Source organism: Homo sapiens, chromosome 9, assembly GCF_000001405.40.
Source record: "Homo sapiens chromosome 9, GRCh38.p14 Primary Assembly".
Lineage (NCBI taxonomy): Eukaryota > Metazoa > Chordata > Mammalia > Primates > Hominidae > Homo > Homo sapiens.
The window spans coordinates 120,004,321-120,027,755 of NC_000009.12; positions in this window are offsets into that span (position 1 = coordinate 120,004,321).

A 23,435-nucleotide genomic window follows, 5' to 3' on the forward strand; every position below is an offset into this window, starting at 1 on the left:
AGACTTCGACCTTCAGATTTTATGAAACCTGAAGCAAAACAAGAAGTTGGCCCTGCCCAGAGTTGTTTCCCTAGCCAAACTGTAACAGTATTGAAATTCCAGCATAACACTATCATTTGACCCAAGCAGTGCAAGACCCTCATTTGTGTAATCATAGCTATTAATACAATATGCAAAGCACTTTTGACTTTTCAAGCTTTTCTCCTGAGCTATCTCGTCTGATTCTCATGCTAGCTCAGTGAGATGAATATTCTTCCCATTTTTCAAAATAGGAACAGAGGCTCAAAATGGTGAAGCGGCTGGCCCAAGAATAGTCAACTAGGAAGTTGTAGGGCTGGGATTCAAACCAAGTCTCCTCTGAAGCTTGTCTCTCTCTGCTGGGAAATGGGAAAAGCCAAGGCTTTCCCAGCTCTGAGTGTTTCAGAGGAGGCTTCATTTTCCAACTCTGACAGCTCCAATACTGGGAGTCCTCCTGCAAGTCACTTAACTAGGCCCCTCTTGTTCTCACTCAAAGAACCTTTCATAGCCCCCAAATCATAATGATATGTTCATGGCTGTGATTATTGTTTATTTTCTGCCTTCTGCATTAGACCATGAGCTTCATGATTGCATTGATTTTTTTTTTTTTTTTTACCAATATATCTTCAGTACCTAGAAGAGTGCTGGACCCACAGAGGTGTTTAATGAGAACTGATCAGCCAACTGAATGAATGAATAGACAAATGACCAAATAAATAGCTCTCATTAGCTGTGTGAGATTGGGAAATATACTTTCTGGTCCCTCATTTCCCCCTTGCAAAATGGCAACTATCATATCTACTTTGCAGAGTTGTTAGGAGACATAAAGTATATAAAGCACTTTGCTTAGTGCCTGCCACATAATAGGTACTTAATAAACAGGAGCTATTATGATTATCATCTAATGAATTTACGGTTAAAGGCTGTCCCCCACTCCCTCACACCCATGACACCTCTGCCCACATGAAAATGAGGACTCTTGAAGCACAGCTGATGCGATGTGTGCTGTGTCACTGATATTTTCATATGGACAAGAAAAGTCCATTAGTGCCATCCCCTGAAAATTAGGAGTTGAGCTGGTAAATTGCTTTCTCACCATGCTGCACTCACCAATACCACTGTGATGGTCAGTCATGCTCAAACTCCGTTCCTGGTTCCCCAGCACTTACGGCAGACAGGACAGAAAGAACGCAGTCCACCGCCAGGCTTGATCATCAAGGAAGAAAGCAAAAGCGTTCTTTAAAGCCCAAGTGATCTGATAGGAGCACTGTCCTGGGAGACTGGGAGCCCAAGCTGCAGTCCCCCAACTTGCTGATTGCCCTTACGTAAAATGTTCCCCTTTCTGGGCTTGGTTTGTCTATCTGTAAAATGCAGAAGATAACACTCAACTCATTCAACTGTGATGGTTGCATAAGATACCATTAAAAATAATAATGCCAATCATGGCTACCAGTGATGGAGGGTTTATTATGTGTCACAAATTGTGTTAAGTACTTGGCTTCATTACCATGTCTTCCCAATAATTCTATTAAAATTAGATTATTATCATCTCTTTATTCAGATGAGAAAATGGAGGCTTAGAGAGACAAATAAGCATCCTGAGATAACCAGCATTTAAGTGGCAGAACAAAGATTCCAACCCAGGATCTTAACCACCAGGCTATCCTGCATCTTGGGCAAGGCAGAATGAGATGAGGTTAGCTCCAGGGGAGCAGGTGGCCCTGTTGTTCTGTGACATTGGTTCTAACTCTCTGACTAACTCGACAAAATCACACTTGGAACCTTGTGTTTCCCATATGTCAAATTAGCATGTTGAATTAGGTGATATACAAAGCTTTTTTTTTTTTTCATGTAAACTTCTTAGACTAAGATGTTAGAAGTATGGGGACATGTTTGGACAGAGATGACTGATCTGCCTCCCTTAAGGTCCACTTGAAAACAGTGCAATGCAGTACACTGGAGAGAATCAGACAGGCCTGGGTTGGAAGACATGGCTTCTCCCTGGTGGGTGAGCTGCCGTGTGCCTCAGTTTCTCCATCTGTGAGGTGGAGAAAATATATACAACCTTACTTGTAAGGATGAAAGCCAAAGTCCTCATATTGGCCTTTGAGGTCCTACAACCCACCCACCCCATCTCCCAGAACCCACCTCCTTGGAGGCTTATTCTCACTCACTCTGCTCAGCCCGCATGCCCCTGCCCCAGGGTCTTTGCACTTACTCTTCTCTCTTCCTGGGCAAACTTCCTCCAGATGGCTCCTTGCTCACTCCCTCATCTCCTCCAGTCCTTTGCTTAAACATCACCTTTTCCTGTGACCTTACCTGCCAACCCCTCTCCAACCCCTGAAGCTGCTGTATTTTTCTCTGTAACCCTTATTGCCATCTGACATGATACATATCATCTGTCCTTCTCACTATAATGTTGGCTTCATGAGAGCAGCAATCTTTGTTTTACTGAGTTATCCCCAATACCTGAAACCATTCCTGGTACATAATTAGTGCTTACTAAATACTTGAATTAACAAATGAATGGGCAATATTATTCATGGAATAAATATTCATTCTATTTATTTTCTCCTTCGTAATAAGTCCTGCTATTAACTGAGCACCTATTATAATGCAAGCCCCATGCTAAGCATTCTGCTCACAATATCTACAAGTGATATCATTCTTAATATCGAGAGCTTCAAAATACTAATGTCTCAGGATTCAGAGATGTCCTCTCTCTACCTGTCATTTTTTTTTTTTTTTTTTGCATCCCTGGTTCTTCCAAAACCAGTCTCCCATATGTGTTCAAAGAACCAGTGAGTCTTTTAATTAAAACAGTCTGCTATGATGAATCTGTTATTACACAGCTTTACCTATGTAAAACATTAATAATACAAATTTCATTTGTTTATGTCAGTGCCAAGCATTAATTTTTAATAGCAAAATGTATGAGTTATGAAAGGCATTAATGCAAACCAAATCACCAGCTGAGGATGAAAAGGAAATCTATTTTTTAGGGTAAGCAGTGGTGATGAAATATTATTGTGGTTTCCAAGCAAAGGGGAAAAAAACATTTCTTCACCCTTCAGCAGCAATTAAAAAAAAAAGATGCAAATGAAGAAAGAACTTTATCATCACCTTAATATCACTGCTAAATTGGAGCAGAGAGCTGTCCCTTTAATCCTGCTGAATCTCTGGTGGCAATTTCAAAGCAAGAAGTTTATGCAAAATTGTCCTAATTACCCACCCCAGTCACATTAATACTTCTAGGATAAAATATTAATAAAAATTTATTACATTTCTACAGCGTGATAGAGTTTACAAAGCACTTTCATCGTTGTCTCAACTAATTCATGCAATTCAAGGGAGGAGAATTTCTTCCCATTTTACAGATGAGCTCACTGAAGCACCAGAAGGTTAGTGACAGGACTGGGACTGCAGTTAGGTATTTAGTGAATAAAGGAAGGAAAGTGAGAAGTCAAAAAGGCAAGGAAGGAGAAAGGGAGGAAGGAAGGGAGAAAGGAAGGCTGGCCAGCAGCCAAGGGGGGTTTAGGGAGGGAAAGAGCGGGAGGAAAATGGAGACGGGAAGCCCAATGTTCAGGTCATTCTCCCTCTGCCTCCTGTCCCTTTCTCCAGATCCATTTTCAGCCCTTCTCTGTGCTCCTCTATAGCCCAGGAAGCTCACAGCTGAGGATGATATCACCAGCCTTCCTCCTCTGGCCAATGGGAGGCCCAGCAGGAGGTCAGCAAGTGGGAAGAGAGAGGAGCATGGGCATTTCTGCTGCCCACGCTGCAGTCCTGCCCAGCACCACTTCACCGGCGATGGCCTCACCCTTCACAATCCCAGCTCCCACCCGGAGCTGGGTGGCCCAGTCTCCATGATTCCCTCTCATAGAGCCCCCACAAGAACCCTTTGTCCTCTCCTTGTTCCTTCAGCCCTAGAGATGGTAAAACAATGTCCCACTGATGCTGTACTCTCGTGCTTCCACCTCCCTTGTTTACTCTATTATCCCTGCTCACCGCATTGTAAGTGGTCCTTTAGTTAAATACTCTTTAGCTAGACCATCCAGAATTCATTAAAGGGACTTCTTTTTCCTGTCTAGAACCTGACTTAGACACCAGTTCTGCAAACCCACTATGATAGATGGAATTGAATTACCAATATAGAAGTTGATCAAAAACAGAGATCAGCTATCATTTCCCTGGAGCTTCCCTGCTACTAAAGAGCATCTCCCAGCCAGTTAACTCAAAACCCGTATTTGAACTTATGGCCTCTGCTTTCAGTTCCTGTCACATTCTTATGGTTTACCTGGAACAATTGGAGGCATGTGCTGCCCTTATTGAGAAGGTGATAACAATGTCAGTGTTCAATAAGGGCTTTTCAGACAAAAAGGATGGCAACTGTATTAATGTTTGGACACTGTATATTAAATGGCTCAAATATTTCATAAATATATATATGTATCTTACTGTACAACATTTCTATGTTTACGTATCTACCTGTTAAATAGGTATTGTTATCCTAATTTGTAGATGAGAAAATTGAAGCTAAGAGGCTGTGACATGCTTGTTTTCCTAAGGTCATGCAGTTTTTATCATTATTAACAAAATTTGCCTCCCATGGAATGCTGACTCCTGAGCAATGTGCTGACCAATATATATCATCTCATTTAATCCTCAACAGCCCTATAGCATATTCAAACTTCATATTTCCATTTCACAGATGAGGAGACTGGGCCTTAGTTCAAGGGGAAATGAGTCCACTTGAGCACAGGCTCAAGTGGCTCCAAAGCACAGCCCCTTTCTGTGTTGCCACAGTAATTCCTACTGGACAAGGCCACTGTATTGTCCCTCTTTTTGTCATGCATAGCCTCTGCCATGAAATAGGCAGCACTAATTCATTCTCAGACACTCTCTGATGCTGCAGCATGTTGGATCAAACCATTTGCAAGAATCACCTGGAAGACCATGCCTTTCCCACTCGCTTGCCACATCCCTTCTGTTATGCTCATTTCCTTTTTTTGAAACAGAGTCTTGCTCTGCCACCCGGGCTAGAGTGCAGTGGCACGATCATAGCTCCCTATACCTGGGACTCCTAGGCTTAAAGATCCTCCCACCTCAGCCTCCTGAGTAACCAGGACTACAGGCGCACGCCACTATGTCCAGTGAATTTTTTTGTTTTTAGAGATAGGGTCTCACTATGTTGCCCAGGCTGTTCTTGAGCTCTTGGCCTCAAGTGATCCTCCTATCTTGGCCTCCCAAAGTGCTGGGATCACAGGCATGAGTCACCATGCCCAGCCTCATGTTTATTTTTAATCTCACTGAAGACTGAAGTAAAAAGGTAAAATCCTGAAATGATCAAAATAATTATTCCTGTGAAGAATTAATCCTGTGTCCCTCTGAACCTGATAGATTTTTAATTTTAAAAGTAATACACTATCAATTGGTACAGGAGCGAAAGAAGTGAAAAGTGAACACGTCCCCTCTTTCCATCTGCCTCCCAAACCCCTTTCTCAGAGATAAACACTCCATATTATTTATGTCTTAACCCCTAACAGAATTTTTAATATATTTTATATAAATGGGATAAGGCTAGATAAACTGTTCTGCAGCTTGCTTTTTTTCCTCCAACAGTATATCTTAGACGTCCTTCTATGCCAATGCATACACTGCATTCAGTCATTCCTCAAATATTTGTTGAGCACCGCACTGTGCCAGGAGTTATATGAGGTGCCACTTTCATCACCTTCATTCTGATGTGTACTGAGGGCACATCATGTGCCAGGAACACAGAGCCTTCTACACAGACCTTCTCTTATTGTTAGAACAGCCTATGGCATAGGTACCATTAACAACTCTATTTTCAGAATAAGAAATAGAGATGTAAAGAAGTTCAGCAACTTGCACAAAATCACCCTCTTTAGGTCTCGGTGGGCCTGGGATTTGAACCCAGGTAGTCTGACTCCAGAGTCAAGGTTCTTATGCAAACCCACAATGCCTCATGCATCTTGTCTTCATGAGTTCACAGTCTGGGAGGTATGAGCAGGGGGAACATACAACAAATGCATATGGTAAGTACTAGGTAAAGAAAACTAACAGGGCTTATAATATTCTATGATACATTGTATCATACTTTAACCATTTCCTGGTTGATGGAAATTTGGATCACTTCTAGTGTTTCATGATTACAAACAGCAAACGTTCTGGTCCAACTGGAATGGGGCAACAATATCTGTAAGATAAATTCCTAAAAGTGGAATTACAGAGGCAAACTGCATTTGCATTTGTTATTTTGATGGTGTCAAACCTAAATAACAGACAGAGAGGGAGACTCTAACAGAAAGTGACATCTGGGCTGGGCACGCTGGTTCATGCCTGTAATCCCAGCACTTTGGGAGGCCGATGCAGGCGGATCACGAAGTCAGGAGATCGAGACCATCCTGGCTAACACTGTGAAACCCCGTCTCTACTAAAAATACAAAAAAATTAGCCGGGTGTGGTGGTGGGCACATGTAGTCCCAGCTCCTTGGGAGGCTAAGGCAGGAGAGTGGCATCAACCCAGGAGGCGGAGCTTGCAGTGAGCCGAGATCATGCCACTGCACTCCAGCCTGGGTGACAGAGCGAGATTCTGTCTCAGAAAAAAAAAAAGAAAGTGACGTCTGTTTGGGAATGGGCATTCCGATGGGAATACATGTGGGTGTGTTCAGGGAGGTCAAGGAAAACAAGGGTTTTTAAAGGAAACCCTTTAGGAAGGAAGGCTGCGAAAGTTGTTTTGAGGCAATTATCCTTGGCTACAAGTATCAAAAACAAGAGTAGCATCAGTCCAAGGCTGGACAGGCAGTTGGTGGGCAGATGTGCTCACAAAAGTAATTTTTTTTTTAAGGTTGTGGTGTCCTTTATGCAAGTCTGTGGTTTTTGCTGAATCTTTTGTGATAGTTCTTGTTATCAGGCAAACGCATGAGATTCCTCCCTTCACAGCCTTCCCCAGCTCCATTTGTCGGGGTTTGACACAAGTGACTCTGTTTTGATTCTGACAACTTTCACAATAGATATTCCAAATTGCCAAAGTGATGTCAATATGAGTTTCTACGCACAGCGTATGTGACTGCCCATTTCCACAAACTCAACAGGACTGCTTGTTAGGAACCACCTTAATCTTCAGTGAAAACTGGAATTCTCTTTCTGTTGTTATTTTCATTGGTTTTCCTTCTGTTAATAAATGCATACTTCTATACATTTATTAACTGTGGTCATTCCTTGATTTTGACTCACTATCTTAGAAGAGAGGGTGATTTAATGAAAAGAACTTGAGATCAGAATTTGAGATCAGAATTTGAGATCAGGGGTTTAATCCCAGCACCAAGACTTACCAGCTGGGTGGGCAGAGCTGGGTGATCATGAGTACGTAGCATTGGGATCCTGGAACGGAAAGAGATTAGGGTCTGGGACCACCATGGGGAGGCACTAAGAGGAGCTTCTGAGGGCTCTGGCACTAAACTGCCTGAAGAAGGTCAGCTGCAGGATTTAGCCTTGCCACACAGGGAACTTCCAAAGCCTAGAGGATGTGATTGGGATTGAGTTACTCAACAGTGGTACCTCAGGTACTACTCGGGTTACCTGAGTCCACTCTGAGCTTACAACCCACAAACCAGGTCACTAATAACCAACTGAAGTGAAGAAAACTTGATTTTTGTGGACAATCACTTGAGAAAACATGTTCTTCCCTCTTTTGTCCTCCCACCCCACAATGCCAGAGAGGACCATGCAGAGAAGAGGGTGTAGGTTTACGCAAGAGGGTAGAACTCTTCTCCCAAGCCCCACTCTGCCACTGACATCAACCCTAGACTTAGCGGAGTGGTAAAGGGACCTTTGAATCTAATATGAGATTGGAGTTTTAGAAATAAACAGACTCGACTCCTAATAACCAAAATAAGACTGTTTTAATAACCCAAAGTAACTGACAGTCCCAGAATGAGCCTGAGCTATGGTTAAGAGAACCCTCCACTCAGCAAGAAAGGCAGTGCAGCAGGCACAGCTGGTAGCAGGTATGAGAGGAAAAGAAATTAAGGATTTCATGTTTACATCCCAACCAGTTAAGACTCTTCATTATTAGTAAGTAATGAGAGGATTGACTCAGCTGATCTTTTCTATGTCTCAAATTCTGAGATTAAATGATTTATTCATTCATTCAACACACATTTGAGAAACACTTAAGGACAGAGAGCTGTACTAAACTGTGAGGCTGTCTGGGTGCATGGCTCATGCCTGTAATCCCAGCACTTTGGGAGGCAGAGGCGGGCGGATCACTTGAGCCCAGGAGTTGGAGACCAGCCTGGCTAACATAGTGAAACCCTGTCTCTACTAAAAATGCGAAAAGTAGTTGGATGTGGTGGTGTGTGCCTGGAATCCCAGCTACTCAGGAGGCTGAGGCACGAGAATCGCTTGAACCCAGGAGACAGAGGTAACAGTGAGCCAAGATCGTGCCACTGCACTCCAGCCTGGGTGACAGCGAGACTCTGTCTCAAAAAAAAAAAAAATCAAAAAAATAAATTGTGAGGCTCCAGAAAAGAAAAAGTATCATCTCTGTCCTCTATGAACCTCCCACTTATGGGGAAGACAGGGGTGCAAGGGAAGCACTTGCCATTCTGAGTCATAAGTGCCACATAGGAGTGCGTGCAGGACTTCCTCAGCATCACACAGCATTCCCATGTGACAAATCTGCACATGTAGCCTCTGTCTCTAAAATAAAAGTTGAAATTAGAAAAAGAAGTGTGTACAGGATCCAGTAAAAGGAAAGGAAAAGAGGAGGTGAGGAGATGTCCCAAGAAAGGGGAAGTTAGTCTTGTATGATGAAGAGGACTTTGCTGGGAAAGAAATGAGCAGAGATTATTCCAGGCAGAGAATAGAGAGCTTGGTGCTTTGAGAGACTGCAAAGAGTTCAAGATGGCTAGATCAGGTGCAAGCAGCTGGGGGAAGTTTAGGAGAACAATGGTTAATATTGAGTGTCAACTTCATTGAAGTATGCAAAGTATTGTTCCTGGTTATGTCTGTGAGGGTGTTGCCAAAGGATATGAACATTCTAGGCAGTGAACTGGGAGACACAGACCAACCCTCAATCTGGATGGGCACCATCCAATCATCTGCCAGTGCAGCTAGGAGAAAAAAGCAGGCAGAGGAATGTGGAAGGACTTAGGCTTGCTGAGTCTTCTGGCCTCCATCTTTCTGCCATGCTGGATGCTTCCTGCCCTCAAACATCAGACTCCAGGTTCTTCAGCTTTTGGACTCTTGGACCTACACCAGTGGTTTGCCAGGGGATCTCAGGCCTTTGACCACAAACTGAAGGCTGTACTGTCAGCTTCCCTACTTTTGAGGTTTTGGGACTCACACTGGCTTCCTTGCTCCTCAGCTCCCAGGTGGCCTATTGTGGGACTTCACCTTGGGATCGTGTGAGTCAATATTCCTTAATAAACTCCCCTTCATATATACATCTATCCTATTAGTCCTGTCCCTCTAAAGAACCCTGACTAATACAAGGAGGAAGATAAGCACTCAGAGAGCAAGGTGGGAAACAGGACAAGGAGCTTTGGCTTTGACCCCAAGGTAATAGGGAGTCACGGGAAGGCTTGGGGAAGGGGAGGCCATTCTCAGAATTGTGTTTTAGGCAGATGACTCTGGGTCCAGTCTGGAGAATGGTTGTTAGGACTGGGGAAAGAAAGGAGGCACAACCAATCTCTGCTTCCAACATTTTCTGGGTCTCTGAGTGCCCGAGAGAGGTGAGGCTGAGAATGCATTCCTGTCTACTTTTACTCCGTCTCCACAAGCTTAAGTAATAACACAATGATTTCCTCCCCTTTGGCAGAGGTACTATCCCAGCAAGGTGGGGTCCTGAATAGAAGTGACAGTGGAGGGTGGTGAGGACAGAGGCACGTGGGTTTCATAGCTGGGACTTCTGTCCTATTGAATTTCTCCCAGAACATAACACACAGCAGTGCTGATTAGGCCCCTACACACCACACAGGCCCTAGATTGGCTAAGCAGCCATGCTGGAGTCTTCCATGAGGAATCACACCCTGCAGGACACAGAAGAGGTCAGTGCTAACCTTGGAGCTCACGACAAAACCCTCAGAGAAAAGGGAAAAGCATCACCCCTTTGTGAACATCTTGCAAATCAGTATCATCAATTACAACTCTAAATATCCCCAACAATCTTGCAAGATGGAAAACATTATCCCTATTCTACTTGTTAATATACCAAGATTCTGAGAGTTTGGCTGGCATGCCCAAATCATCTCACAGGAACAGAGACATTTGCCCAGTTTGCAACCCAGGCTGGTTTTATCCCAAAGCCAGCTGCCTCCACTCACCACCTTGAAGACCACTTGAGGGAATAGAGATGAAGCTGCCACAGGCTGTGGCTGTCACTGAGCATTAGCCAAGATGGCAAAAGAAGAAGCTGCAGTTGTCCAGATTCCATTATCTGAAGCATCTCAGCACCATGCCAAGCCTTAACATCCACTGGGCTAAGCAGGCACCCCAGGCACTGCACATATTCATTCGACACTTACTTACAGAGAGGCAGGAGAATGCAGCAGTTAGGAGTGCTGCCCATGAAGCCAGATGGCCTGGGTTTGAATCTTGGCTCTGTTACTTCCTAGTTGTGTTTCCTTGTGTTTACTTAACCTCCTTTGTGAAATGGAAATAAGAATGACATCATCTCAAAGGTTGCCACGGGGCGGATATTAAATGAGTTCATATATGTAAAGAACTTGAAGGAGCACCTGGCCCATGCTGAGTGCCCAGTAAGCATTGGCTGCCATGACTTACGGCGTGCCTGCTGGGCGCATTGTGCCAGGTGCCGAGAGGACACAGAAGTGAGTGGGACAATCACAGTGAGGTCTGAGGCAAGAAAGACCGTGGCATGTTCTAGAGCCTAAAGGGCAAGGCAGCAGATGGGGGCTGGAGTTCCATGATGCGTAGAGAAAGTGGCATGAAGTGCATTGGGGTAGGGGCCGGGACGCAGGCCAGGTTGGGCCTGGTGGACCTCAGAAGGTGTTTGGAATTTATTCCAAGTATAACGGAAAGGCAGTGAAGAGTTTTAACAGGGAGTGATCTGACTTAAGCTGTAAACTAAGTACTCTGCATGGGGAGAGGAGAAGAAATTGTAGGGGGAGACACAGGTGGAAGAAGAAACACCAGTCAGGCAAGGTACAGCAGAAGCCACATGAGGGAAGACAGGGACCAGGAAGCAGCACTGCCCATTCCCCAGGTCCCTGGGCACCTCAGAGGTACTTGATTAGCAGCTTCTTACTTCACCTTCTATGAACCATGCTCGCCACCCAAGGCCAAGACATCTCCCACCTGCCTCCCACCCACCAGGGTGCCACGTGCTGGGTGCCGGCACCCTCAAACCGGTAAAGCAAAACACAAAACCAATCTTACTCATACCTGAGCAATGGACTGAACCTTTTTAGACAGAATAAAAGAAGACAGCTGTTTGTTCAGCAAACTCTATACTCAAAACGCTGCTGGATTCAACCGAGCTGTAGGAAAAACCAGTAAATGCAACCACTCTGTAATAATGTTTAATGTCCACCTGCCCATATTAGAGATGAGCAAGTCCAAGCTCAGACGGGCCGCAAGCTGCTAAACATGAAGATTATACCTAAAATCTAGATCTTCTAACTGCAGGTCCACACGTGGATTACAGGCAGTAGCTTCCAGTCAATTCCAACTCACACTGTAAAGACAGCATTCCTTGGTTTTTGTGTACAGAGCCACTGTATTAGTCTGTTTTCACACTGCTATAAATAACTACCTGAAACCGGGTAACTTATGAAGAAAAGAGGTTTAATTGACTCACAGTTTCACAGACTTAACAGGAAGCAAGACTGGGAAGCCTCCAGAAACTTACAACCATGGCGGAAGGCAAAGGGGAAGCAAGCATGCCTTACTATGGCAGAGCAGGAGAGAGAGAGAGCACAGGGGGAAGTGCTACACCCTTTCAAACAGCCAGATCTCATGAGAACTCACTCACTATCATGAAGACAGCAAGGGGGAAGTCTGCCCTCGTGATTCAATTACCTCCCACCCAGCCCCTCCCTCAACACATAGGGATTACAATTCCACATGAGATTTGGGTGAGGACACAGAGCCAAACCATGCTAGCCACCAATGTGGATTCTCCAGTGACAGCCCAAAGGAGGAAGCAGGCTTCATCCTCCAAACTGTGTTTAACATCCCCCACCTCACTTCACATGTAGCCTCAGCACAAAACCCTCCATGGGGGAAGGAATGGGTAACATTTTCTGCAACAAAGCCATTTTATTGTTTGCTAGTATGGAGATAGACAGAGAGAGATAGAGAGAGAGAGAGTGAAATCTGGAAACTATTGAATGTGGTCTTATCCTTAGGGCTTAATCAGTGGAATAATAACTCATAGAGAGCTTACAGGATTCCAGGAGTCTGTATGTGCCTCCATAACATCTTCAAGCTATGCCCCCAACTCTGTTCTTGGGTATGAGGCCATGGTCCTACCAGCTCCGAGAACTCCATGTGGCCACCTCCCTCGCTTTGCACATACTCAATTTTTGCACCACTCTTTTCCCTTGGTCTTTTTAAGCTCCTTTCCTCAATGCCCCCTCCCAACCCCAAATAATTTCTGCTTCATCTTTGTGACTACGAAGTGTCACTTAATTTTCAAACACATCTGGTTCTTTTGCAGGATATGGTATCTGGATCACGAGAGCAGAAGAGAAACGGTGTATTTGTTTTCTAGGGCTGCCATAACAGATTACCACAAACTGGGTGACTTAAAACAATAGAAATGTATTCTGTCACAACTCAGAAGCCTAGATGTCTGAAATCAAAATGTCAGCAGGGCTATGCACCCTCTGAAGGTTCTAGGGAAGCATCCTCCCTTGCCTCTCCCTAGCTTCCGGTGGCTCCTGGCAATCCTTGGTGTTTCTTGGCTTATAGCTACATCACTCCCATCTCTGCCTTGGTCTTCACATAACATCTTCCCTCTGTGAGTGTGTGTGTGTGTGTGTGTATGTGTGCCTGTGTGTGTCTGTGTGTGTGTGTCTGTGTGTGCGTTTGTATGTCCCCTCTCCTCTACTTATAAGGAAACCAGTCATTAGATTTAGTGTCCACCCTAATCTAATATAAACCTATCTTAAGTTTATACTACATCTAACTAATTACATCTGCAAATACTTTCTAAATAAAATCACATTCTAAAGTTCCAGGTAGATATGTATTTTGAGGGACACATATTTAACATAGTACAAGAGGCAAGAGCCTTTGGAGACACACATATAAAACAAAATCAGGCCGTTTGCACCATAAAAATTAAGCTTTGCTAGAATGTCTGCAGTACCTAATAATGCTAAACTATACTTTCTCCTACCTGACTTTGAGTGACCTCATCACAGGATATTTTCTGCTAACTTCACTACAAGGAGTACAGATGCAGGAAATATATGGAGAGAGGATGAAAACCTGTACTGCTACCTATAGGTGAAGAAACAGGCCCAGAGAGAAGGGAGTGCAGCATATCAAGCGGACCTGGAAGCCATGTTGACCTGACCCCATGTTGGTTCTCTTTCCACCTCACCACACTGCCTTGCAAAAACAGGTGTGTGTCCACATGGCTAAACATCAGGCCCCTGAGGTAACAGAGCCAATGACTCAAAGAGAATGAGACAGGCAGGATTTGGGTTTCTCAATGCTACCGATGCCCCTGAACTGGTGCTGGGGTTTCTAGGGGCAGAGCTGAGTGCTAGCCCTGGCCAGGAGACACCACGCAGGTTTTGCTCAGCTTCCAGACTATTCTGCCTCCTATCAGGGAGCCTGGAAATGAGTCATACCCCTGCTCTTGAACTGGAAAGAAGAAAGTGGTCTCCTATGGCATTTATCCAAACTTTTCTAGCCAAGACGCACTGGTTCTGATTCTTGCCTCTGCCCATTGCTGAAGGAAGGAAGTTGTCATTTCCAGGGCTTGAGAATGTCAAAGATGTTACCAGCTCAAGTGAGCCTGGATTTAGTCCGGGTCAGCAGAGATAATGACAGCTCCAGGGTTCCACTTAGCCTCTTCCAGATGACAGTCTGTGTGGTTCCAAAAAGAAGATGAAGGAGAAAGTATGAATTAGAGAGATTTGGATATAGAGGTGGCAAATTTACTCCCACCTTCTATAAACGCCAAGACAGATGCACGCAGGTGAGCTCAGATGGAGAATGGGTTGGGAAAGATGCAGAAAGACTGCCTGGTGCCTAGAGTATGCATTCATTCAGGATGGTCTAGCTGGCTAGCCTGAGATTTTACCCTAAACCTGCAATTACCCATCATGAAATCTCCAGCAATGCCTTCCCTTGTCAGCCTCACTTTCCTTACCTGTGACTGGGATGCTGCCCAGGTGGCTGTGAGGATTGAATGAGATCATGTATTTTTAGAAGGTATTTATACACCCACCTTGTTCCAGAAAGGATTTGACACACCTATGGGATAATCTAGATACAGCCCTTAGCATACTGTTTAGCATGTAATAGGTCCTCAATCAATGCCAGCCTTCCTTCCTAAAGAAAATCTCAGTGATTCCATCTAATTCAATGTGGAGAGAATGCAGAGGCCAGAATGAATGAGGGAAATGTAGCTATTTTTAGAGAAAAGTGGTCTTAATAAGTAGATCACCTATTCTTCCAATAAAAAAGATAATTTTGAAAACTGGATAGCAATATGAAAAATGTTCTGATGTAAGGGAAAAGGCAGTGAATAACAGTGCATATGCATGTGCCTTTATAGAATATGTGTCAATCTAACAACATGGAGAGATTTTTACCTTACCTCCCCTCCCCTTACCTCCCACTCCCCAAATTCCTTTTGGTAAGAGAATGGCATTTGTTTGGGTATGTTCTTGGGGAAGAAGAGCACTAAATATGGAAACTAATCTGAGTGACAGAAGGCGGAGACTTTTTCTTGTGACTCCAGAAAAGGATGGTCATGGAGGAGAAATTGAGGAGAGAAGGAAAGGCAGATGGAGCAGGAAAAAAAAAGGCAGAAGATCCCATGCTGTAGAATGCCTAGGACCATCTATGAGACCTCACCCTTCAGTCAAGTTATTAACTCATGCACAATTGGTGGTGAGGAACCTGCTAGGGCATGGAGGGAAGTGACTGTCCTTTGTTCTCAGACCAATGCGAAGAAAAATAAAAATAATACAGAGAGACAGAGGATCAAGAACCAGGGAAAAGCATAGGAGTGGTGGACCTCAGAAACTCTCAGAAATTGTGACAAGAAATCTATACACTCTTGCAGCAAAGAGTCAGAAAATCAGGGGCCTCATCTGAGTTACATTTTTTTCCTTCTTCATATATTTTTTGGAGACAGAGTCTTGCTCTGTCACCTGGGCTGGAGTACAGTGGCGTGATCTCAGCTCACTGCAGCCTACATCTCCCAGGTTCAAGCAATTCTCCCACCTCAACATCCTGAGTAGCTGGGACTACAGGTGTGAGCCACCATGCATGGCTAATTTTTGTATTTTTGTAGAGATGGGGTTTTGCCATGTTGGTCAGGCTGGTCTCAAACTCCTGACCTCAAGTGATCTGCCCGCCTCGGCCTCCCAAAATGCTGGGATTACAGGCATGAGCCATTGTGCCCAGCCTGGGTTACATTTTTACACATGAAGAGAGCTGTAAAGAAAAAGATGAAAATGGGTAATATATTATGATGGAAATATTGTGGTTGGTTTGCTAAGTACCTTTTTCTGATTACAAAGTCAAACAAGTGCATTGTGAAAAATTTGAAAAAATATAGAACAGTTTGAGGAAGAAACCACTATTAGTGTTTTGGTTAGTACACATCCCTTGAGTGCTCTTTCCACATGTGTACATGCTGGCATGCTATTTTCATGCCACTCACATTTGCACATATGAGATCACATCCCTCAGTTTGTCTGACCTCCACTTTTTTTACTCAATCACTCAACATGGGCATTTCACACGCCACTGAATTTCTTTTTCCATATCTTTTTAAATGGCTGTATAGTATTCCATACCATGTGATATGGTTTGTCTCTGTGTCCCCACCCAAGTCTCATCTTGAATTGTACTTCCATAATTCCCATGTGTTGTGGGAGGGACCCAGAGGGAGACAATTTGAATCATGGGGGTGGTTTCCCCCATACTGTTCTCATGGTAGTGAATAAGTCTCATGAGATCTGATGGTTTTATCAGGGGTTTCTGCTGTGCATCCTCCTCATTTTTCTCTTCTGCCGCCATGTAAGAAGTGCCTTTTGCCTCCCGCCATGATTCTAAGGCCTCCCCAGCCACGTGGAACTATATGTCCAATTAAACTTCTTTTTCTTCCCAGTCTCAGGTATGTCTTTATCAGCAGCATGCAAATGGACTAATACATCATTGGAGTACAAAATTTAACGAGTCTCCTGATTTTGGAACTCACTATTCTAAATAATGCCCCAGTGTACATTCTTACACATAAACCTTTAAGTATGTACATGGTTATTTCTTCAGATTCCATCTCTAGAAATAGAGCTGCTGGGTCGAAGATATGCACACATTTAAGACTTTTGTCACATTTAGCCAAGTTACCTTCCATACATATTGTACATATTATCTTCTTTCCAACTTTTAGGTTCAGGAGGTACATGTGCAGGTTCGCTATGTGGGTAAATTGTGTATTGCAGGGGTTTGGTATAAAGATTGTTTTGTCACTCAGGTAAGAAACATAGTACCTGACAGGTAGTTTATTTATTCTTACCCTTCTCCCATGCTCCACCTTCAAGTAGGTACCAGTGTCTATTGTTCTCTTCTTTGTGTCTATGTGTACTCAATGTTTAGCTCCCACTTATGAAACTGGACCCCTTCCTTTCACCATATTGTACATATTTTACACACCACCAGTCGTGCAAGAAAATGCCCATTTTCCCCACACACTTACTTAGCATTTGGGATGGTAATTTTCTTTCATTTCTGCCAGTTTAATGGGTGATGGCATATCAGTGTTGTTTTTTTATTTCTTTGATCACCAGTGAGATAATATTCTCTTGTTTATCAAGTATTGGACCTTTGTATTTCATCTTTTATTAATTACATACTCATATCCTTTGCTCATTTTCTTATTGGAGCTTCTTTTTTTTCCTTGTGGACTTACATTTTAACCACTTGTTTGCCATATATGCTGTAAATATTCCCTTGGATTATATTTAATGTTTAAATTTTTTTTTGTTTTTTTGTCTTGTTTTGTTTTGTTTTTGAGATAAGGTCTCCCTATGTTGCCCAGGCTGGTCTCAATCTCCTGGGCTCAAGTGATCCTTCTACTTCAGCTTCCTAAGTAGCTGAGGTTACAGGAACACACCACCACACTGGGATAACACTTTTATGGGGTTTTTAAAGCATGATACTTTATTTTTATTTTATTAAATCTATCAATATTTTCCTTTATGATGTTTTAATACTTAGGTTTTTCTCATTTTGCAATTGTGTAACTATGTGTTACTTGTTTTCATCTTAATACACTTTCTTTTTAAAAAATTTTCTTTACTCCACCTAGAATTGAGTAATTTATATAAGATAGTGATCTAAATACATGTATTCTACGAATAGTCAATCATCCCAACACCAGTTACTGACTGATCCATTGTTTTTCACTAATGAAAAATGTTGCCTTTATTATGGCATAGAGTCTACATAGCCAAGAAGGTCTTTTTATGAAGCAATTGGCTGGGTATAAAAATCTTGAATCACGGCCGGGCGTGGTGGCTCATGTCTGTAATACCAGCACTTTGGGAGGCTGAGACGGATCACGAGGTCAGGAGATTGAGACCATCCTGGCTAACATGGTGAAACCCCATCTCTACTAAAAATACAAAAACAAAATTAGCCAGGCATGCTGGCTGGAGGTTTCTGTAGTCCCAGCTACTCGGGAGGCTGAGGTGGGAGAATGGCGTGAACCCAGGAGGTGGAACTTGCAGTGGGCTGAGATCACCACTGCACTCCAGCCTGGGCGACAGAGCAAGACTCCGTCTAAAAAAAAAAAAAAAATCTTGAATCGCAATTTTGTCTTCCAATATTCTGTAGAAATTCCTACATTATCTTTTAATATATAGTTTTACTTTCCATATTTTCTATACCTTGAACAATTTTACATAGAAAAGGAGTTATTTATTTTATGAAATTTAGAAGAATTTGCCTACTAACCACGTAAGATTTCACAATTTTTGGAGGTAGTTCTTTGAGATTTCCACCAATCTCTCTGATACTTATTGATATATTGTGTTGTGTCCACTTAGATTATTTTTATGTTTGCTAAAAAATAATTCCATTTATGTAGATTTCCAAATTTATTAACTGGAAGTTTTACATAGTATTTTACTTTTTTTTTTTTTTTTTTTTTTTTTTTTTAGACGGAGTCTCGCTCTGTCACCCAGGCTGGAGTGTAGTGGTGGCAACCTCCACCTCCTGGGTTCAAGTGATTCTCCTGCCTCGGCCTCCTGAGTACCTGGGATTACAGGCACCTGCCACCATGCCCAGCTAATTTTTTGTATTTTTAGTAGAGACAGGGTTTCACCATGTTGGTCGGGCTGGTTTTGAACTCCTGACCTCGTGATCCTCCTGTCTTGGCCTCCCAAAGTGCTGGTATTACAGGCATGAGCCACCATGCCCAGCCTTTAATTTCTACTTTATGTTTAGATTCCCTTTGTCTTATCCAATGCTGAATGCTTATGTTTTATCCCTTTTAATTATTAAGATATTCAAAGATTGTTCTGTATCCTTTTTTAAAGTGAATCTTAAATTTATTTACCAATTCTACTACTCTTTTCTAATTTATTGATTTCTGATCTTAAATGGATTTTATTCTTCTTTCTACTTACCTTGGGCTAACTTTGTGGTTCTTTCTCTCACTTCTTAAGTTGAATGCCTATTTGTATATTTTTTCTTTTTCTTGCTGATAAAGTTGTTAAAGGCTGTAAATACTTCTTTGGGTATATCTCTAGCAACTCAACTTCCATCAGTGTTGACAAGTTGTATTCTCACTGTTACAGTATTCTACACAGCCTATAATTATAGTTTGTTTTGATTCAATCTTGACTAAAGAGTAATTGAAATTCTTCCTTATTTCATCCAATATCCTTCTCAGCTCAACTTGGTTCCTTTTGGCTTTATGCTTTTTTTTTTTTTTTTTCAAACACACCATGTCTTCTTAATATTTTCCAAGGATACAAAATAGTTTCCTGATTTTTTTCTGGACACTAAAGAGATGCAACTTCATGATAGGTCTTTTCTCTTGATCAATAATACTTTTTCATAGACTTTTTATTTGCTTTTCTTTCCTATTCTTTATCTTCAAGAAAGTCAGAGTCTATCCAAACTCTATAAAAATACAGAATGTAAGAATGTACTACCTCACTCTCTGTTCTCATGAGTAATGGCTAAGTCTTTTCAGATCTTCTTAAGGAGGATAGACTTAAGTGTACAGCTAACAGCTCAGTTTCTACCAGATAACTCAGCTTGATGAAGAGGACCTCTTCTCCTACACTGATGACTACTTCTCCAACCCTCTGAACAGGTAAGGTACATGGAAAAACTACAATTCCCAGCATGCAGTGGTATTGTAATTCATCCTGTGTTTGGTCTTCTACCTACAGCATCTCATTTGTGGGGCTTGAACATAACAGTGTAATATGGTGCTATTAATGTGCATGCATACACACACACACACACACACACACACACACACACACACTTTCTGTCCTTGTGGATTCTAAGAGTTACTGTCTCTGATTGAATACAGGCAGCAGGCTGGGAGGGGATGGGAGGAGGAGAAAACCAAGTAGGAGTAAATTGGGGAAGGGAAAGGAGCAATGCTCTGGGTGCCTCACAGCAGAAGGATGGCTGCCCTGTTTTCTGATGACTATGGTTCCAGGATATCAGAGTCAAGGAAAGCAGTTCAAAGTCCCTTCTCACTTTTCTTCAGGCAGTCTCAGTTTCATAAGACAAAGGTAAAACAGGTTTCTCTCAGTCCAACTCTATCTACTTTAGAGTTCATGGAAATCTCTCTCTGACCCTGTATTCAGCAGGTTACCAATTGGAGGTTCGGATGATTTTGTGAGTTTTTGTCTCATGCTTCACAGATAGTTAGCAGAGAATTTAAAGAGGATACATCAGGGCCTGTAAGCCAGATGCCATTTTAATGAGCATTTGCTATTCACTGTCATAATTTTGCCTGTACAATAAATTCCAGTCTTGCTTCCACTACAATTCAGTGCCATCATTTCTTATTAGAAATATTGGGAACATTTCTTGACTCTTCTCCCTGCCTCCAGTCCTATCCCTTCCATCCCATCCTCACCCCAGTCACCAAGAGTGATTTTTCTAAATCCAAAGTTATTAAGTCCATCCTTCCATCCCAAAATCTCCAGTTCAGCCATTCAAATACTCACTGAGCCGCTACTCAATTCCAGGCACTGTGTTAAGTCCCAAGACCTAACACAAGCCACCAAGAAGCACCCAGTCTTTGTGGAAGAGGGAGAAAGCAGAACTTATAATTCAGCAAGATGAAAGCTGTGGAAGGAGGAAGTTCAGTGTGCCATGAGATGGAGCAGGAACATTACTAATCTGGGAAAACTTCCCAAGAAGAGGAGATGTTGGAAGGACAAGGGAGAGTCACTTGGGGAAGCACAATGTTCTAGAACCTGGGGGACAAAAGAAAGGCACGATGAGGGAGAAGCCCTTCAATCACCAAAGCAGGGCTGGAACACAGCAGGCAAGAACAACAGTGACAAGAGATGGGTCTGAGAAAATCAGCAAGGCCTGGGCCATGGATGATCCTGAGTCCAAGCTGAGGCGTTTGTTATTTTTATCTTTAGGGCACTGAGAAGCTACGGGAATTTTTTATCCAGAGAATAACATGATCAGGGTGCCTCTTGTGGCACAGGAGGAGGGATGAGGGAAGGAGAGATGCTACGTAGGAAGACTGTCAAGGAGCTGTTGTAATGGCTCAGGTGAGAGATGCTGCAAAGAGTTTGAAGTCCAGAGATGTTTGGAAGCAAACCTAGAGGACTTGTTGACTGAACAACATCCATACTTCCTTTCCACACTCAAGGCTTCTTTCTAATGTCTATATAAGAGGTGGGAAAGAGCAGGCCTAGTTGGGAGCAAAAACCAACTAGGTGTGGCTGTGGTCTCCATCCATCATGGACCAAAGCTATCACTTCCATCTCCCCTTAGGCCAGAAAGATGACAAAACAAAGAGAGAACTGCACAAAGCCAATGGGGTCCCCAGCACACGTAAGGAGTGACTATGTACCCATTATTGTGCTAGGTAATTCAAGGGAGAACAGGAAACTGCAAATAACCTACCAATAAAAAGCAGCAAATTATAGTAACATGTTTAGAACCTTGCAGAGGGACACATTTAGAATACAGATGGAAGGAAGGACTGTTTTATCGTTGTTGTTGTTGCTTTTAGTAAATTCTCAGTTTAAATTTATAATATGATAAATCTCAACCAATATAACCCTATAAACAAAATCCCTTTAGGGCCACAGTAATTTTTTAAGACTGTAAGGGAATTCTGATACCAAAAAGTTAGAAAACCATTGCACTAAATGATAGATGACTAATTCAGCAAGGGTCAGAACTAGAAACACCTGATCTTTATCTGATACCAAAGATGGATTTGTTCTCCACTGTTGCTGCAACAAGTTAGCACAATCTTAGTGGCTTAAAATGATACACATCTATCATCTCACAGTTACCATTGGTTAGAAGTCTTAGTACAGGTCAGCTGGATTCTATGCACAGGTCTCACAGGCTGAAATCAAAGTTTGGGCTGGGTCTTCTATCCTCTGAGGCTGCAGTCCTCTTCCAAGTTGAATGGTTGTTGGCTGAATTCAGTTCGTTGCAAACATAGGACTGAGGTCTCCATTTTTGTGTTGGCCATCAGTGGGGATTGCCCTCAGCTCCTTGCTGCCACTCTCTGGTACTTGCACACAACCCCCAAGAAGGGGCTGTGATTGATCCTCTGTCTTGTTGCTTGTTTGTTGTGTGACCTGTTCAATGCAATGGCCAAGGAGGTTGGGCTGGGACGAACTTTGGTCTGTTGTTTGGGGGGACAGAAAAGGCTCTTCTATCAGGCTTAAGTGGGGTGAGCAGGTCAGTCACAAAGAGCCAGTGAAGTGGGAAGTTCCAAGGAAAAAAGAACCCACTAGGAAATGACTTGAAGAATGAAATGAGCAAGTACAGCAAAGGGCTCCCAGTTCCTCTGGGGTCATGGGGAGGATAGAGGTCAGCCCAGTGCTTTCCTCTTGGGCCACTATTTGGCTGGGAAGATGCAGCATAAAGCAAGTTTGCCCTTCAACTTCTTCAGCTTTAACCCCCGAAGAATAGTGTTGTCAAAATCAGCCACATAATTTGTAGAGCCCAGTGCAAAACGAAAATGCAGGGCCCCTTGTTCAAACTTAAGAATTTTAAATTGACAACAGCAGAGTGTTACATACATGGGGACTTTCTAAGCGTGGGGCCCTAAATGACTGCACACCCTGGCTATTGTGCTTAGATCAACAAACATTTATCAGATGGCTGGAACTCAAAATGTTGATAGAGATCATCTAGTCCAAATCTAGCTCCCATACTGTTCACTGGGAGAGCTGGGTCAGAGAAGGAGAAAACCTTGGCCAAGATCCTAGAGCGGGTCAGGGATGAGTTTATTTATCCAGATGAAGGGCTCTTTATTCTTCTGTGCTGCCCTTAAAGCTGTCTTTCACCCATCAAACTACAGCAGACACAGGTGGAAAGCCTATGACATGCCAAGCACTGAGCTTGCTGTCTGTCTTCACCCACACATAGCACAGAAGCAGTCAGGCATAGGGAGAGACCATCCTCGGCTTGGAGCAAGGATTTAATTCCTTACTCCACCAAAAACCTGCATTGCCCCCCAGGCAGGTCATTGTTTCTCTCTGAGTTTTAGTCTCTTCTTTTGCATAGGAAGAACCAGCTTGTCTCAAAGGTCCTTCTCAGGTGTCACTTTTATGGAAACAACAGGGAGGAAAGCCTTCCAGTGGCGAATCAAGGGGGCCTTCCACCCCCATCAAGGAGGTAGCTCTGGGCTAAGCAGTCCTCGGGTGAAATTAACTCTGCTTTCAACTGAATTTGCCAGTTTTTCAGCCAAAAAATAATAATAATAATAATAATAATAATAATAATAAGTAGCACAACTACAAGCTGCTCCAAGCCAAGCTGCCCTTAAACAGATAATCGGATTTGCATAATTGGGTGCTGCTAAGGTTTAAATAATTCATCAACATGGCAGGCTCTTTTTAATAGCCAAATAGAACTGCAGACTTTGGGAAAGGATCAATGGCAATCCATGTCCCAGGGATGTGAGCTGCATCCTCAGGGCAGCCAGAGCTGCGGGGTGA